The sequence below is a fragment of the Homo sapiens genome, chromosome 1 (assembly GCF_000001405.40).
Source record: "Homo sapiens chromosome 1, GRCh38.p14 Primary Assembly".
Taxonomy (NCBI): domain Eukaryota; kingdom Metazoa; phylum Chordata; class Mammalia; order Primates; family Hominidae; genus Homo; species Homo sapiens.
This window is the reverse complement of record NC_000001.11, coordinates 75,760,832-75,780,161: the sequence shown is the minus strand read 5'-3', so window position 1 is coordinate 75,780,161 and position 19,330 is coordinate 75,760,832. Positions and strand designations below refer to the sequence as shown.

The 19,330-nt window shown below is 40.2% G+C and overlaps 1 protein-coding gene across 5 annotated transcripts in view, besides 1 other annotated feature; it reads right to left on the bottom strand.

Annotated features, from left to right (window-relative positions):
• Positions 15,736-15,795: an enhancer, noted in NCBI's record as "active region_1206". NCBI's record gives its function as "activates an Ori minimal core promoter by ATAC-STARR-seq in GM12878 lymphoblastoid cells {active_cell/tissue: GM12878}" and the evidence as "EXISTENCE:reporter gene assay evidence [ECO:0000049][PMID:35858748]".
• The window catches only part of ACADM (acyl-CoA dehydrogenase medium chain), a 38,971-nt gene continuing 36,123 nt past the window's right edge, over positions 16,483-19,330 (bottom strand). For all 5 annotated transcript variants that reach the window (NM_001127328.3, NM_001286043.2, NM_000016.6 and 2 more), the window contains 2 exons: positions 18,792-19,040; positions 16,483-17,470 (listed from right to left, as the gene is read on the bottom strand). In NM_001127328.3, the coding sequence (NP_001120800.1) occupies positions 17,399-17,470; positions 18,792-19,040 (321 nt within the window). In that variant the 3' untranslated portion in view covers positions 16,483-17,398. The remainder of the gene's footprint in view (positions 17,471-18,791; positions 19,041-19,330) is intronic.

Below are 19,330 nucleotides of genomic sequence, written 5' to 3'. Positions count from 1 at the left end.
TAAATGTTTACAATGGGGTGTTAAAGTCTCCCATTATTATTGTGTGGGAGTCTAAGTCTCTTTGTAGTTCTTTAAAGACTTGCTTTATGAATCTGGGTGCTCCTGTGTTGGGTGCACTTATATTTAGGATAGTTAGCTCTTCTTATTGAATAGATCCCTTTACCATTGAATGGCCTTCTTTGTCTCTCTTGATGTCTGTTGGTTTAAAGTCTGTTTTATCAGTGACTAGGATTGTAACGCATGCTTTTTTTTGCTTTCCATTTGCTTGGTAGATCTTCCTCCATCGCTTTATTTTGAGCCTATGTGTGAGATGGGTCTCCTGAATACAGCACACTGATGGGTTTTGACTCTTTATCCAATTTACCAGTCTGTGTCTTTTAATTGGGGCATTTAGCCTATTTACGTTTAAGGCTAATATTGTTATGTGTGAATTTGATCCTGTCATTATGATGTTAGCTGTTTATCTTGCCTGTTAGTTAATGCCGTTTCTTCCTAGCATTGATGTTCTTTACAATTTGGCAGGTTTTTGCAGTGGTTGGTACTGGTTGTTCCTTTCCATGTTTAGTGCTTTCTTCAGGAGCTCTTGTAAGGCAGGCCTTGTGGTGACAGAATCTCTCAGCATTTGCTTGTCTGTAAAGGATTTTATTTCTCCTTCACTTATGAAGCTTAGTTTGGCTGGATATGAAATTCTGGGTTGAAAATTCTTTTCTTTAAGAATGTTGAATATTGGCCCCCACTCTCTTCTGGCTTGTAGAGTTTCTGCTGGGAGATCCACTGTTAGTCTGATGGGCTTCCCTTTGTGGGTAACCTGACCTTTCTCTCTGGTTGCCCTTAACATTTTTTCCTTCATTTCAACCTTGGTGAATCTGACAATTATGTGTTTTGGAGTTGCTCTTCTTGAGGAGTATCCTTCTGGTGTTCTCTGTATTTCCTGAATTTGAATGTTGGCCTGCCTTGCTAGGTTGGGGAAGTTCTCCTGGATAATATCCTGAAGAGTGTTTTCCAACTTGGTTCCATTCTCCCCGTGATTTTCAGGTATACTAATCAAACGTAGATTTGGTCTTTTCACATAGTCCCATATTTCTTGGAGGCTTTGTTTGTTTCTTTTTACTCTTTTTTCTCTAAACTTCTTTTCTCGCTTTATTTCATTAATTTGATCTTCAATCACTAATACGCTTTCTTCCACTTGATCGAATCGGCTATTTAAGTTTGTGCATGCCTCACATAGTTCTCGTGGCATGGTTTTCAGCTCCATCAGGTCATTTAAGGTCTTCTCTACACTGTTTATTTTAGTTAGTCATTTGTCTAATCTTTTTTCAAGGTTTTTAGCTTCCTTCTGATGGGTTCAAACATCCTCTTTTAGTTCAGAGAAGTTTGTTATTCCCAACCTTCTGAAGCCTACTTCTGTCAGCTTGTGAAAGTCATTCTCCATCCAACTTTGTTCTGTTGCTGGCAAGGAGCTGTGATCCTTCAGAAAAGAGACGCTCTGATTTTTAGAATTTTCAGATTTTCTGCTCTGGTTTCTCCCCATCTTTGTGGTTTTATCTACCTTTGGTCTTTGATGTTGGTGACCTACAGATGGGGTTTTGGTGTGTATGTCCTTTTTGTTGATGTTGATGCTATTCCTTTCTGTTTGTTAGTTTTCCTTCTAACAGTCAGGTCCCTCAGCTGCAGGTCTGTTGGAGTTTGCTGGAGGTCCACTCCAGACTCTGTTTTCCTGGGTATCACCAGCGGAGGCTGCAGAACCGCAAATATTGCAGAACAGCAAATATTACTGCCTGATCCTTCCTGTGGAAGCTTCATCCCAGAGGGATACCCACCTATATGAGGTGTCAGTCAGCCCCTACTGGGAGGTCTCTCCCAGTTAGGCTACACGGGGGTCAGGGACCTGCTTGAGGAGGCAGTCTGTCCATTCTCAGAGCTCAAACTCCGTGCTGTGAGAACCACTGCTCTCTTCAGAGCTGTCAGACAGGGATGTTTAAGTCTGCAGAAGTTTCTGCTGCCTTTTGTTCAGCTATGCCCTGCCCTCAGAGGTGGAGTCTACAAAGGCAGCAGGCCTTGCTGAGCTGCAGTGGGCTCCGTCCAGTTCGAGCTTTTTAGGCCGCTTTGTTTACCTACTCAAGCCTCAGCAATGGCAGATGCCCTTTCCCCTGCCAGGCTGCTGCCTCTCAGGTTCATCTCAGGCTGCTGCACTAGCAGTGAGCAAGGCTCCATGGGCATGGGACCTGCCAAGCCAGGCACGGGATATAATCTCCTGATGTGCTGTTTGCTAAGACCATTGGAAAAGCCTGGTATTTGGGTGGGAGTGTCCCATTTTTCCAGGTGCAGTCTGTCACAGCTTCCCTTTGCTAGGAAAGGGAAATCCCCCAACCCCTTGCGCTTCCTTGGTGAGGCGATGCCCCACCCACCTTGCTTCAGCTCACCCTCCATGGGCTGCACCCACTGTCCAAGCAGTCCCACTCAGATGAACCATGTACCTCAGTTGGAAATGCAGAAATCACCCGTCTTCTGCATGGATCACACTGGGAGATGCAGACCAGAGCTATTCCTATTCGGCTGTCTTGGAACGGCTGGAAGTTACTTTCAAAAAAGAAACGCCTGTATGCCTTTTACTAGCTTTCCACAGAATTCGGATATGCTGTGTGTACTACAGCTGTTTTGGTTTGTGCATTGTCTTTCATACTGCACCAGCATTTTTGAACACTCATTAGAAAATATTGGCACCTTGTGCTCTTAAAATTGATTGCTTTAAGTAAGGATTTGGAGAAGTATTCCTGACATACTGACACGTGTTGGCTATCAATAATTGAGAGGGAGAAACAGTATTAAATGTACTATGATGATGGATTTCTTCATTTCTTCCTGTAATTCTGTTCATTTTTCCCATTTATAGTTTGGGATACTTTATTAAATGTGTTTAAGTTTTTTTTGTTTGTTTGTTTTTACTTTTTTCTTTTTTAGAGATGAGGTCTTGCTATGTTGGCCAGGGTGGTCTCCAACACCTGGACTCAAGCAATTCTCCTGCCTCGGCCTCCTAAAGTGTTGGGATTACAGGCCATTACCACACTGGCCTGCATGTAAATTTAAAATTATCTAGTTCTGTTGAGTTGAGCCTTTTGTTTTGTTATTGTTCATTTGTAGGGAATTAAAAAAAAGGGAAAGGAAACAGGGTTTGCTCTGTCACTCAGGCTAGCGAGCAGTGGCCGGATGATAGCTCATTGTAACCTGGAACTCCTGGGCTCAAGTGATTCTCCCATGTCAGCCTCCTTAGTAGCTGGGACTACAGCATGATGCACCACCATGCCTGGCCAATTTCTTTTTTTTTTTTAATGGGGTCTTGCTCTGTCACACAGGCTGGATCTCCGCTAGCTGCAGGCTCAACTGCCTGGGCTCAAGAGATTCTCCCACCTCAGCCTCCAAGTAGCTGTGACCACAGGAGTGCACCACCACCCCCAGCTAATTTTTTAATTATTTATAAGCACAAGGTCTCGCTTATTGCCCAGGCTGCTCTTGAACTCCTGGGTTCAAGAGATCCTCCAACCTCAGCCTCCCAAAGTGCTGGGATTATAGGCAACAGACAGCTATTGTCCAAGGCGTACCCTTTTATCATTAAATGATGACCATATCTAGCCCTAATAAGGCATTTTATCTTGAAAAGTCTTTGTTAAATGTTAATTTCCACAAATTTATTTTAGTTAATAGTTACCTCTAAGAGTTTTTTTTCAACTTTTTATCTTTAACCTTTCTGTGCTCTTATGTTTTAGTGTGTCTTGTAAATGAAATATGGCTGACTTTTTGGTCTATCATTAACCAGTAACCTCAGTTCATTTACATGTAATTATTTGTTTATTTTGGGCTTGTTTCTATCATCCAAATTTTTTCTTCCTATCTGTTCCACTTTTCCTATGGTTTTTTATTGTTTTGGCCTTTCTTGCCTTTAAAAAAAAGTGTCTTAATTTTTTCTTATTCTATTTTTTCTTTTCTTCTGGTTTAGAAGTTATGAATTCCAATAATTTAGTGGCTATTTTGAAATTTACTTTGCATAATTAAAAATGTGTATAGTTAATATCCTAACCCTCTCTCCCAACAGTACAAGAACCTTAGGACATTTCAAATGTTTCAACCTCCTTGGACTTGTTCTCATATTTTAGTTATGTTTTTTTGTTAACTTCATAAATACTATCTTATCATCATCTAATATAGGCAATTTTTATTTGTTTGTTTGTTTTGAGACAGAGTCTTGCTCTGTCACCCAGGCTGGATTGCAGTGGTGTGATCTCGGCTCACTGCAAGCTCCACCTCCTGGGTTCATGCCATTCTCCTGTCTCAGCCTCCAGAGTAGCTGGGAGTACAGGAGCCCGCCACCACGCCCAGATGATTTTTTTTATTTTTAGTAGAGACGGGGTTTCACTGTGTTAGCCAGGATGGTCTCAATCTCCTGACCTTGTGATCCGCCCACATTGGCCTCCCAAGGTGCTGGGATTACAGGCATGAGCCACTGCGCCCAGCCTAATATAGGCAAACTTTTTACCCAATAGTTACAATTCATTTAACTATTTCCTTTTGCATAGCACGCTTTCCTTTTGCATAGCACACTGTCCTTCTGGAGAGATCTTCTCTTCCTTAATGATTTTACTTCACTAGATTTTCTGTTGGTAGAAAACTGTTAGTTTGTTTATCTGAAAATGGCTTTATTTCACACAGATGACTCTTCAAAGAACTTTGTGGGTTAAAGATTCTAGACTGGGTACGGTGGCTCAAACCTGTAATCCCACCACTTTGGGAAGGAGGGCAGATCACTTGAGGTTAGGAGTTCAAGACCAGCCTGGCCAACATGGTGAAACCTTGTCTCTACTAAAAATACAAAAATTAGCCAGGCATGGTGGCGGGTGCCTGTAATCCCAGCTACCAGGGAGGCTGAGGCAGGTGAATCGCTTGAAACCAGGAAGTCGAGGTTGCAGTGATCTGAGCTCACACCACTGCACTCCAGCCTGGGTGACACAGTGAGACTCTGTCTCAAAACAAAAACAAAAACAAAAAAAGTACCTGAGACTGGGCAATTTATAAAGGAAATAAGTCCAATTGACTCACAGTTCTGCATGCCTAGGAGGCCTCAGGAAACTTACAATCATGGCAGAAGATGAAGGGGAAGTAGGCATCTTCTTCACGAGGCAGCAGGAGAGAGAAGAGTGTTGTGTAGGAGGAAATGTCAAACACTTATAAAATCATCAGATATCGTGACAACTCACTATCAGAACAACATGAGGAAAACCACCTCTTTAATCCAATCAGTTCCTACCAGGTCTCTCCCTGAACACCTGGATATTATAATTCAAGATGAGATTTGGGTGGGGACAGAAAGCCAACCATATCACAGCCCACTTGCCCATAAGGCAATGCTCATTTGTGTGGTCCCTGGTGCTAAACCATTCTTGGAGGAACTGCTTCTGGAGCAGAGCAGCTCCCTCGCTGTGATCTACTGAAAGTCAACCCTCCACACACAGGACTGTTAACTATATATATATATATATATATATATATATATATATATATATATTTTTTTTTTTTTTAAGACACACATAAAAAGGAAAAAGAGAAGATATCTGTCAATTTGTCAATCTAATTGTTACTTTGTGGGTAATTCTCTTTTGCTGCTTTTAAGATCTTTCCTTGGTCTTCTGTTTTGTGCAGTTTCATGAAGATGCCTCTAATTGTGGATTTACTTTTACTTCTTTTACCTGGTATTTGATGAACTTCCTGTATTTGAGAATGTATCACTCCTAAAAATTTTCTAGCATGATCTATTACAATACCATTCCTAGACACAGGTAAGGTGGATTGGTGGCCCATGTTTAGAGGGCAGGTCCTGCTCTGGTCCTCCTATAGCCACATACCTTTACATGCAGCAAGGAGTCCCTGGAATCAAGTGGACATGCCCACCCAGAATCAGCCTCGCCACCATTAGATGGTATTTCAGGTCACCCTCCCTGCCTTTTTCTACCCAAATGGCCCCATACACCCCTTCCAAATTCGACTTGGGTATCTTCCCTGGGTCCTTCCCTTAAAGGGCAGATCATTTGCTGGTATGTGCACCACATGTCCCAAGGAGTTGCCCAGGCATTGATGTAAGCAGGGTATGAAGGGAGCTTGGATGTCTAGGTTAGGATGTCCACAAGCATAGGTACAAAATGCACTGTGATGCAAGACCCTGAAGTGGTATAAGGAAAGGAACAGGCCAAGAGATATCTTTTCCTAATCTGTAATTTTCTAGCACATGACTCTAAGAAGTTCAAGCTGGCTAAATTTGAACCTGGCATTCTGGGTTGTCATCAAGGTATAATTATGAAAACTGGAGGACAGAATATAGAGATAGATAGATAGACAGATAGATAGACTTTTGAGACAGGGTCTCACTCTGTCCCCAGGCTGAGTACAATGGCACAATCACCACTCAATGCAGCCTGGACCTTTTGGGCTCAAGTGATCCTCCCACCTCAGCCCCCTAAGTAGCTGAGAATACAGGTGCATGCCAGCATGTCCAGCTAATTTTTTATTTTTTGTAGACATGGGGTTTTACTATGTTGCCCAGGCTGATCTTGAACTCCTAGATGCAAGCAATCCTCTCTTCTTGGCCTCCCAAAGTGCTGGAATTACAGGCCTGAGTCACTGTGCCTTGCCAGAACATTTTTTTTCTTCTTCTTTTTTTTTTTTTTTTTTTTTTGAGACAGAGTCTTGCTCTTGTTGCCCAGGCTGGAGTGCAATGGCACTATCTCGGTTCACTGCAACTTCCCCCTCCCAGGTTCAAGTGATTCTCTTGCCTCAGCCTCCTGAGTAGCTGGGACTACAGGTGCCTGCCACCACGCCTGGCTAATTTTTGTATTTTCGTATTTTTAGTAGAGACAGGGTTTCACCATGTTGGCCAGGTTGGTCTCGAACTCCTGACCTTGTGATATGCCCACCTTGGCCTCCCAACCTGCTGCGATTACAGGCATGAGCCACTGCACCCAGCCCTTTTTTTTTTTTTTTAAACAGGGTCTTGCTCTGTTTCCAAAGCTGGAGTGCAGTGGTGCGATCACAGCTCACTGCAGCCTCTACCTCACAGGCTCAAGTGATCCTCCCACCTCAGCCTCCCAAGTAGCTAGGACTACAGGTATGTGCCACCATGCCTGGCTAATTTGCGTGTGTGTTTGTTTTGTAGAGACAGGGGATCTCAGTATGTTGCCCGGGCTGTTTTCGAATTCCTAGCCTCAAGCAATCCACCCACCTTGGCCTCCCAAAGTGTTGGGATTACAGATGTGAGCCACCATGCCCCACCCAGAGCATATTTTATTTAACTGTGGATTAGCTTGGGTATTAACTTTTAACTGTTAAATGTATCTTATATGGTATGTGGGTGTGCACTTGCGAGTTTGCTCCAGGTCCTGCAAATGTAGAGTGGGCCTTCTCTCTTTTAACATTCTCCCTTTCTGGGACTTTAGTTGACACGTTAGACTTCCTTTTTTTTTTTTTTTTTTTTTTTTTTTGAGATGGAGTCTCTCTGTCGCCCAGGCTGGAGTGCAGTGGTGCGATCTCGGCTCACTGCAACCTCCACCTCATGTGTTCAAGTGATTCTCCTGCCTCAGCCTCCTGAATAGCTGGGATTACAGGCATGCACCACCACGCCTGGCTAATTTTTTGGTATTTTCAGTAGAGACAGGGTTTCACCATGTTGGCCAGGCTGGTCTCGAACTCCTGACCTCAAGTCATCTGCCTGCCTCAGCCTCCCAAAGTGATGGGATTACAGGAGTGAGCCACTGAACCTGACTGACATGTTACACTTTGTTGTTGCATCCTTCTCATTTCTTAACCTCTTGTATTTTTCACCTTTTTGTCTTCCTGTGATGCATCCTGGATAATTTATTCCTATCTATAAGCTAGTATTCTTTTCCTACTTAAAATCCATGGGCTAGCAGCATCAAAATCACTCTGAGAGCTATTATAAAGGCAGAGTCTGAGTCACATCCTAGACCTACCAAATCGCATTCTGCATTTTGGTAAGCTCCCCAAGGATTCCTATGCATGTTAAAACTTGAGAAATACTATTTCAGATTCCATTTGATTATTTTTCAGATCTACCTTTTTGTTTTTATAGATTCCTATTGTTTTCCATTGTGTGATTTTTCGAATTTCTTTACATCTTTCACGTTGAGTTACTGTATACAGTTTTCTCTTGGTATCTGCAGGGGGTACTGGTTCCAGGAACCCCTGCAGATACCAAACTCCAAGGATGCTCAAGTCCTTTGTATAAAACAGGATAGTATTTGCATATAACTTATGCACATTCTCCCATATACTTTAAATCATTTCTAGATTACTTATAATATCTAATAAGATGCCTACATATCACTCTATTTGTGTGGATTCAAGGTACTACTTGCATGTGGCAAATTCAAGTTTTGCTTTTTGGAACTTTGTGGAATTTTTTTTTCCCCTGAGTATTTCTCATCTGAGGTTGGTTGAATCCACAGATGCTGAACCCACGGAAACAGAGTATGGCCAACTGTACTGTTTATCTGATCATTCTAATATCTGGAGTCTTGAGGTCTGTGTTAGTCTGTTGTCTCATTGATATAAAGAAATACCTTAGACTGGATAACTGATAAAGAAAATAGGTTTAATTGGCTCATGGTTTGGCAAGCTATGTAGGAAGCACAGCTGGAGAGGCCTCAGAAAACTTACAATCACGGCAGAAGGTGAAGGGGAAGCAGGCAAGTCTTACATGGCCAGAGCAGGAGGAAAAGGTGTGGGGTGGAAGCACCACACAATTTTAAACAACCAGATCTCATGCGAAAACTCACTCATTATCACAAGGACAGTGTTCGGGGGGATGGTGTTAAACCATTAGAAACCATTCCCATGATCCAATCACCTCCCACCAGGCCCCACCTCCAACACTGGGATTACAGTTGAACATGAGATTTGGGTAGGGACAAAGATCCAAACCATATCAAGGTCCCAAATGTGTTACTTTTAATTTTCAGTTGACTTTTTTTCATGCTGATTGGTTCTTTATTTATTTTGAAGATTTTTGGTTGTCAGCTCATATTAAGGCCTAATTGGAAGGTGTTTTTCTCTGGAGAACATTTGCATTTGCTCTGACAAGAGCCAGAGAGTGATAATCGTCTGAATTTACATTACATAAACATAAGCAGTAAGTATTAAGCATGTGCTATGTAGCTGGCCCTCTAAGAAATGCATCTGCCCTGAAGGAGCCTAGTGGGAAAGACAGTTGGTAAATAATCTGTGACAAATTCTCTGACAAAGGCAAGCTTAGTATGCTATGGAAAAGGTGCCTGTAAATCAGATGGGAGAGAGTTGTGGTAGAGGGGACAACAGAGGGAGACAGGGATTGATCTGATATCCTGGGAAAGGCAATGCTTGAAATAAGAATCATATAAGCATCAGACCCAAAAAGTAACATTATTCAGATTGTTAATAACTACCGAAGGAATGAAAAACAAACCTAACTTCCTGCTGTATAAATTCATTCAACTAGTATGTATTGAATGCCTAGAATACGCCAATATTATTCTAAGTTCTGGGGGTACAGTGGTAAGCAAAATAGAAATATATGTAGGAAGTATATATTCTAACAATTCATTTTTAATTTTTATTATTATTATTTTTGAGACAGGGTCTCACTCTGTTCTCCAGGCTGGAATGCAGTAGTGGGATCAGGACTCACTGCAGACTCATCCTCCTGGGCTCAAGAGATCATCCTCTCAGCTCAGTCTCCAGAGTAGCTGGGACCAAAGGTGTGCCTCAACATGCCCAGCTATTTTTTTTTTTTTTTTAAGAAGCAGGGTCTCCCTGTGTTGCCCAGGCTGGTCTTAAACTCCTGCGTCCAAGCAATCCTCCATCCTCCCGCCTCAGCCTCCCAAAGTGCTGGAATTACAAATGTGAGCCACCGCCCCCAGCCCAATTCTTGAACTACATTTGAAAATTCTATTCCTAGGTATTTATCCTACGAATATACCCCCTTGGTTGTGAAGTGACTTATGTGCAAGAATAACCACAGGAGCAGTCTTTGTAATAGCAAAAGATTTAAAAAATTTTAATTGGTCGGGCCCAGTGGCTCATGCCTGTAATCCCAGCACTTTGGGAGGCTGAGGCAGGCAGATCACCTGAGGTCAGGAGTTTGAGACCAGTCTGACCAACATGGCAAAACCCCGTATCTACTAAAAAAATACAAAAATTAGCTGGGCATGGTGGTACATGCTTATAATCCCGGCTACTCGAGAGGCTGAGACAGGAGAATAGGGTGAACTCAGGAGGCAGAGGTTGCAGTGAGCTGAGATCCGAGATCACACCACTGCACTTCAGCCTGGGTGACAGAGCAAGACTGCATCTCAAAAATCAAACAAACAAACAAACAAACAAAGTTAATTGACCATCAAAAGGTTAAATAAACTATGGTATATTCATTATACAGCTATTAAAGAGAATGAAGAAGCTCTACACATATGGAAAGGTCTTAAAAATATACCAAGTGAAAACAGACATAAAAAGAAAGCAACAAACCATATAGTATGCTATTTATGTGGGAAACAAAGGAAAAAATATATATCTGTGAATGCACAGAATTTCAAAAAGCAGCTGCCTAACAGAAAAGTATTCAGTGAAAAGTAATCCTTTCTTAAATTCTGTCTACCACCCAATCCTTTAAGAAAGGATTACTTTTCACTGAATATTCTATTACATTTATTCAAATAAAAATGATCCCCCTTCAAAGAAATGTAGCAGCTATGCTATAACAAAGAATTGTATTCTTTCTTTCTGATATTGAATAAATTAACACTGTATTAGTCCATTTTCACACAGCTATAAAGAAATACCTGAGACTGGGTAATTTATAAAGGAAAGAGGCTTAATTGACTCACAGTTCCACGGCTGGGGAGGCCTCAGGAGACTTTCAATGATGTTGGAAGGTGAAGGGGAAACAAGACCTTCTTCACATGGTGGCAGGAAAGAGAAGAAAGCGAAGGGGGAAGAGCCCCTTATAAAACTGTCAGATCTTGTGGGAACTCACTATCATGAGACTATCATGGGGGAAATCACCCCCAGGATTACAATTCAAGATGAGATTTGGGCGGGGACACAGAGCCAAACCTTATCAAACACCATTTAGCTTTGGCCATGTACACAGAGTTTCTGTGCTACTCTGATGCTTGCTCAAGGGCTCTGCTATAAACTAGAAGCCAAATTTGTGTTTTCAAGAAAGGGCAGTCTTAGAGCCTCATGGAAAGAACCAGGTGCTTTGGACTACTGATAAATTCTTCAAAAAATAGAGTCATGGGTACAGGCTTCTGAGCAGACATAGCTTAGACAACTTTCAAGCCATAGCAGTGAACTGAGTCTGCATTTCTAGGACTCTCTTCTGGAAACAGACTGATTCATGAAAGCAGTCCACCAACCCAATTTCCAGCAGCATAATTACACAGGACTGAATGAACTGATGAGAGAAGTTTAATCATGGTTATTTATTTATTGGAATATTGTTGATGTAGTGTTCTATTTTTATGGTATATGAGGAAGCCCTTTAAAATTCTTCATAAGCTATTGACTCCAATTTAGTGTACTCCGCTTTTGTAAACTGAAATTTTCTTTTTTTTTTTTTTGCAACAAGGTCTTGCTCTGTCACCCAGGCTGGAGTGTAGTGGTTTGAACATGGATCATTGCAGCCTCAGCCTCCTAGGCGCAAGGGATCTTCCTGACTCAGCCCCCTGTGTAGCTGGGACCACAGATGTGCATCTCCACACCTAGCTAATTTTCTAATTTTTTGTAGAGATGAGGTCTCACCATCTTGCCCAGGCTAGTCTTGAACTCCTGGGCTTAAGCAATCCTCCCACCTCAGTCTCCCAAAGTGCTGGGGTTACAGGTATAAACCACAGGGCCCAGCTCTGACATTTTTAAATGGCATGTGATCCTAAGCCCTCAGAATTCAGGAATGTGCTGAATTTCCTTTTATTTCACAGCAGTATTCAAAAGGAATCTGACCTCCTTTTTACCAGGATAACTGATTAGGTCATGAGGGCCATACCTAGAGTGTCCTTTTTGAAAATAATTCTAATTTAATCAGTTATGAGAAGCCCGTTATTAAAAACAAGTTGACTTTATATGTAGAGTCAATACCTACAAAGCTGTCTCAATAACACTGGAAAAGTGCCTGGCTTAAATGTTTGTAAGTGGTAAGGAAGAGCAATGCTCGGCAGGCCAGGAACCCTAGCAAATTCTGAAGATGTTAAGGAGAGAGATTCACCCAAGCTCTTAGGTACTACAGGAGAAATCTAGTGGAGAGTTTCTTGGATTTGATTCCCCAGCCTTGGGATGTCAAGCTATAGAAGCTTTTAAAAGTCCGATTTGAGGTCTCTGATGAAAAATTTCAGACAGAAGTTAATCCTGTGGCCTTAGTAATTTGTTCAGTACTGTATGGTTCTGGATTTGCAAAGTAAATTTGAGGAGATCTACATGACTAACGAACACTCTTGCTGTACCTAGGCAAATAATCCACATAAACCTAATGAAATTTGCTTTTTACTGATCAGGAATACTTGTGGCAGATTCCTTTTGATGAAAAGTAAGAGACTGTTAAGAAACACTGTCAAAGCCTTGAAAAAGGATACAATAAATTATTGGGCGTCCCTTTAGTGGTGTGCTAGGTACTATCTAATGGATCCTCTGCATATTATCTGATGGGATATGTACCATTGTCTTTTTATTGGACAGACTGTTATACAATTGTAAATGTAGATGTTAAATTGTAAAAAAAAAAAAAAAAAAAAAGGAAAGTAATGCAACTGAACCTTAACTACAACTAATTTCTGCTCTGTAGAAAAGATGGTCCCATTAGGTTTATTGCCCTATACCAGTGATCCCCAACCTTTTTGGCACCAGGGACCGGTTTTGTGGAAGATAATTTTTCCACAGACACAGTGGGGGGTGCAAGGGGAGATGGTTTGGGGATAAAAATGTTCTCAGATCATTAGGCATTAGATTCTCATAGGAGCACGAAACCTAGATCCCTCATGTGTGCAGTTCACAATAGGGTTCGTGCTCCTATGAGAATCTAATGTTGCCACTGATTTGACAGGAGGTGGAGCTCAGGCAGTAATGCTTGCTCGCCCAACACACACCTCCTGCTGTGCAGCACAGTTCCTAATGGCCCAGAGACTGCTACTGGTTTGTGGCCTGGGGGTTGGGGACCCCTGCCCTATAGGATATGGTCAATCTACTAGCAAATTCTTTTTTTTTTTTTTTTTTTTAGACAGAGTTTCACTCTTGTTGCCCAGGCTGGAGTGCAATGGCACGATCTCAGCTCACTGCAACCTCTGCCTCCCAGGTTCAAGTGATTCTCCTGCCTCAGCCTCCCGAGTAGCTGGGATTGCAGGCATGTGCCACCATGCCTAGCTAATTTTGTATTTTTAGTAGAGACAGGGTTTCTCCATGTTGGTCAGGCTGGTTTCGAACTCCCCATCTCAGGTGATCTGCCCGCCTTGGCCTCCCAAAGTGCTGGAATTACAGGCGTGAGCCACCACGCCCAGCCTAGCAAATTCTTTTAAGCATTTATTACTGCCTCTATCTGCTCTTTAAATTCTCCCTTATACCAGTTTTAACTTTGTACTAGTTCCCTCATCCAATGAGTTAAATACAGTCTTTCACATATTAAGAAAAGAAAAAACACTGTTGCCTGTGGAATTTAATCTTTAATCTCCAAAGACCCTTTGTACTATTTGATAATATATTCAAATTAATGGCTGTAATTCTAGAAGCCATATCAACAACCATTTTTTTTTTAATCCAGAGGAGTCACTGAATAATTCTTCTCCCTCTATGCAAATTGATGACTCTGGTAGATTCCTTAAACATTCATTAAAATTCTGGTAAACCTACTAGATCACATGTAAAACTGTGCTTTCTCTAGGAACCATCAATTCACTGATGGGGGCAACTAATAGTCATGTTTGTAGTCCATGACTGTACCTACCCTCCTTCTTGTAATGGCCCTAGTCAGCAAGCTTATAAATGTGGTGGTCAATCCAAAATATAAATATGCTACCGTGAAGTCTGATTCTATTGTGGGATCAAAGAAGCAGAGAAAGTTAGACTATAGAGCAACAATGAATAAAATGACAGAAGTAGAGAGTTAGCAAAAGACTATATATATTTCATGGATTCCTGAGGACTGACTATTCTAGTTTTAGTCCCTTCCTGAGACTGACTTCATTCCTCCCTTTCAGACCTATGAGTCATTTCCACATACTTAAAATACATATTTGCTTAAAGAAGCTTAAATTCATTTACTTGTGACTAAAAAGGCTTAACTGATGCAAAATTACATAAGTGCTTAATATTTATTAGCAAGGATTCTATAATATTCTCATCATAAGGCTTTGGAGTACATTTATATCTTGTATAGAAACCTTTTCTTTTCTCTTTCCTTCCTTCCTTCCTCCCTCCCTCCCTCCCTTCTTTTGGAGTACATTTATATCTGGTATAGAAACCTTTTCTTTTCCCTCCCTTCCTTCCTCCCTCCCTCCCTTCCTTCCTCCCTTCTCTCTTTCCTTTTTTTTGATGGAGTTTCGCTCCTGTTGCCCAGGCTGGAGTGCAATGGCATAATCTCAGCTCACTGCAACCTCGGCCTCCCGGGTTCAAGCGTTTCTCCTGCCTCACCTCCTAAGTAGCTCGAATTACAGGTGCTCACCACCACGCCCGGCTAATTTTTTGTATTTTTAGTAGAGACCGGGTTTCATTATGTTGGCCAGGCTGGTCTCAAACTCCTGACCTTGTGATCTGCCCGCCTCGGCATCCCAAAGTGCTGGGATTACAGGCATGAGCCACCTTGCCTGGACCTTTTTTTTCTTTTTAGGGTCTCACTCTGTCACCCAGGATGGAGTATAAATGGTGCCATCACAGTTCACTGAAGCCTCAAATTCCTGCCCTCAGTGATCCTCCCACCTCAGAACCTCCCAAAGTGTTGGGATTATAGGCACGAGCCACCATGCCCAGCCCATGTCTAGAAGCTTTATGTTTAGAAATGGTTGGGCCTCTGTACTGCAAATTCAAATTTGCATTTGAAATATATACATTCTATTTAACTTCTCATTTCTACATAATACCCAATTAAGAATTCTCTAAATCTCCTTACCAATCTCAAGTTGTATCATTTAAATAAAATTTCATCATTGAGCATGAAGGAAATGTCATTTAAATATTTTATATTTGTAAGAAATTCGATTATTTTGGTAATTTAATGTGGTATAAGAAATTTATTTGGTCTTTGTTCCCAGGTCTTTGTTCCTGGCACAGAGCTCCTAAAACCCTTGGAATTTCTTGAGTTCTTGGAGTTATCTTCTGTTATTCCTTATAAACCTTTTCAATCATACCTGAATTTGGCATGAGATGACTTAGGGTGGGGCCCCTAGATAATCTCAGGAGGAATCTGGTCACCAGAAGGACTAAGTAATTAGAGGGTGATGTTATGGACTGAGTTGTGTCCCTCCAAAATTCCTATGTTGAAGCCTTAACTCCCAATGTGACTGTACTTGAAGATAGGATCTTTTAGGGAGTTAATTAAGGTCATGAGGATAGGACTCTAATCTCACAGGGCTAGTGTCCTTAGAAGAGGAGAAAAAGACACAAGAGCTCCCCCTAACCCAACCCTTCATGATGCACAGAGAAGAGGACATGTAAGGACACAGAAGGTGGCAGTCTATAAGGCAGGAAGAGAGGCCTCACTAGAAACAACCCAAATGGCACCTTGATCTTGAAATTCTAGCTTCCAGAACTGTGAGAAAATAAATTTATTTAAGCTACCAAGTCTCCAGTGTATTTTTTATGACAGCCCTAGGAGACTAATACAGTTGGGAGCTTCCAGCTTTCACCTTGGTCCTCTGGGGAGGAGTGGAGGACTGGAGATTGAGCTCCATGGAAACTATTGAATTTGAGCTGGGGAGCTTCCACGTTGAGGAATACAGAGACATGCAGGGAAGGTAATATGCTGGAAGAAGGCATGGAAGCTCTGCACCTCCCTTCTCCCTCCATACCTTTCCCTATGCACCTCTTCATTAATTGTTCCTAGTTGTACCCTTTCTGATATAAACAGGTAAATGTAAGTTAAGTGTTTTCCTGAGTTCTGTGAGCTATTCTGGCAAATTATCGACCCTGAGGGCAGGGTCATGGGAATACCTGAATTTGTAGCCATGTTGGACAGAGTATGGGTAGCTTGGGGAGTCAGGACTTGTGACTGGCCTCTGAAGTGAGGGCAGCCTTATGGGGTTGACCCTAACTCTGCTGCATAGTGTCAGAACAGAATTAAAATGTAGGACACAGTTGATGTCAAAGAACTAGAGAATGAGATGTGATGTCAGAAAGCACTCCATTTAGTATAACACAGTTTAGCAGTATTCGATATTTAGAATTACAAAGAAATATTAAATTCAGAGATTTGGGTTCTTAAATTATTTCATATTTATATTTTCTGAAGTCTTTAAAATATCTAATAAAAAATGAACAGGTAACTTTATTCAATTCAAAATTAAAACGACCTTTTTTCATCATAGTAAATACAAGAAATATACACTATTACACGAAGTAATGAAATTTCCTGGAAAAAATACAGAAAGATATGATAATAAGCACTGAACAATTTTATTAAGTTCTTTGCCAAAATGCAAACATATGAAATGAGATTGTGTACAATAGACCAAAGGCTACCTAGAGACCAACAGTCATATAAAAATAATTTAAGGCAAGCTTTATTGATTTATTTTAAATAAGGTAAGTGAAATATGGGCTCAGAATTAAATAAGATTTTCAAGAAAGTTCTTGTAGCTGTAAAATAGGAGAATATGAATGTCAAAATTTTGACTGTTTCTGTGCCAAACAGAAAGTTTCACAAATGCTTTCCAAACTGCAATAAAAAGAACTTTAATAATACCATTAAGTCTACAAAGTTACTGTCAAGTTGACAGTATTCAAATACTACAATATTTTCTAAATGTAAATTTTGTAACATCTTGAATACTTTCTAAGCCCACTTTTCTGTCATTACAAAAATAAAATTCCAAGAAATTTCTGCTACATTAATCTTAAGAGATCAAAATAACCTATGTAGTTTTCTAGGTTAATGTAATTCAAGTAAAGTGGTACTAAAGAAAACACATCATTTTAATAAAAACCAAACCTGCTTAAGAGACATAACAGAGTTAAGCAAAAGTATAAACTACTATAATAAGCAGTTGCTTAGATTTAATATAAGAGGATTTGTTTTCACTGGAAAAAACGTTAAAGCCCTTTCTTTTTTCTGGAGCTGAAACAGTGGCTTGTGTTCTAGTTATTCAATATTTCTACAGTAATTTTTTTAATTTTTGTACTTGTCAATGTGTTCACGGGCTACAATAAGTCTTTGAATTTGTGAAGTACCTTCATAAATCTGCAAGAAAAATATAAGTGTAGGTTAAATATCTTTAGTACATAAATACTTTGATTTATTCAACATTTTAGACAGTAGCATAAGCTGTGTTGTAATATAAAACCGAATCAAACCATATATAGGGTCTGTAGCCTCTACAGATTCCAAAACCTGATTTTGTGAAAGTCTGAAAATATGGAATTCTCTAAAGATTGGTTAAGTTATTATAAAAAGCCATTTATCAAAATTTTGGAGAAGAGTCTTCAAAATATAAAAAAAGAAAAGATATTTACATTTCAGAAAGTTTGGGAAAACTAAAGTTTAATGTGGCCAAAATATTTGTCTAATTTTCTGAACTGTTCTTAGCTAGCTGTCTCCTTCAGTCTTTTATTCTTACCCTTAATTTTTTTTTTTTCTCCCACTGCCTGTGGAACAGAGTTGCTAAAGAAAAAGATGCTGGAAGGATTTCAAGAGTCAGACCTTATTTCCATTCTAAACTTCTAACTTTAGCCATTCGTTAGTTCATCTTCTCAGATGGCAGAGAAAAGCTAAACTGTTGATGATAATAATAGTAATAATTATAATTAAAGGCTCTAGGAGAGGAAGAGTATCACCACATAAACCTGTGACTTTGGATAAGGCACAAATTCTGGACCTCAGTTTTTTCATGTCTACATGGAGAGGCTGCACTACGTGTAACATTCCTTCTCACTCCAGCATTTTGATTCGAACTCAGTATTTCCAATGACTGGATGAGTCAAATAATTTGCTAGGTGTAGGGGGAACAAGGGAAGAGATACTGAGGAGCAAGAATGTGGTAATTATTAAGTAATTACTTAAGCCACATGTAGAGAACATGCACATTTATATTTCCTTTTACTGAATTCCTCCTAAGTTTTTTTGACTACCAATTTAATTTGGAATTAATCTACATCACTGTCTCCTGATGTTGGTTTTTGACTCCAAGTATAGTTACAATAAATTAAATAGTTGTCAGGCAAGATTCAAATCAAAATAATTAATTTTAAATGACATGCATACTTTTTGGAGAGAAAAGTTTGGGTTACAATTAGCCAATCTGTTAAAACTCAAAGAAATCTAATCCAAACGTAATACACATGTCTGTACCATTTTTTTTAGCCTATTCTCTCTTCAGACTTATACTTAATCACAAATAACATTCTTCTTTCTATTAATTAATTCCAAAAACTGGCTCACAGCCATATATGACAGTCATTTATTGCTACTAGGGACATAAAATTTCTAAATAATCAGAAATCCACGTTGTCATTTATGAATATTCTCTCTCCTTGCAAACCAAAAAAATCATCTTTAACCTTACCTGATAGATTTTGGCATCCCTCATTAGTTTTTCTACAGGATATTCTGTATTAAATCCATTGCCTCCAAGTATCTGCACAGCATCAGTAGCTAACTGATTTGCAATATCTCCAGCAAATGCCTTTGCAATAGAAGCATAATAGGTATTTCGACGACCAGAATCAACCTCCCAAGCTGCTCTCTGGTAACTCATTCTAGCTAGTTCAACTTTCATTGCCATTTCAGCCAGCATAAATGATATTGCTTGGTGCTAGAATTAAAAAGAAAAAAATTAAAGGATATTTATTGAGAAAACTTAAAAGTTTTTTCCTGGGGCTTTTTCATTTTTATAGTGACGGGGTCTTGCTATGTTGCCCAGGCTGGTCTGCAACTCCTGGCCTCAAGCAATCCTCCTACTTAGGCCTCTCAAAGTGCTGAGATTACAGGCGTGAGCCACTGTGCCTGACCTTTTTATTTTTTAAACTTTTCATTAACGAATTTTAGGTTTATAGAAGTTACACCCAGCTTCCTCTAATGTTAACATATTACCAAACCATAGTG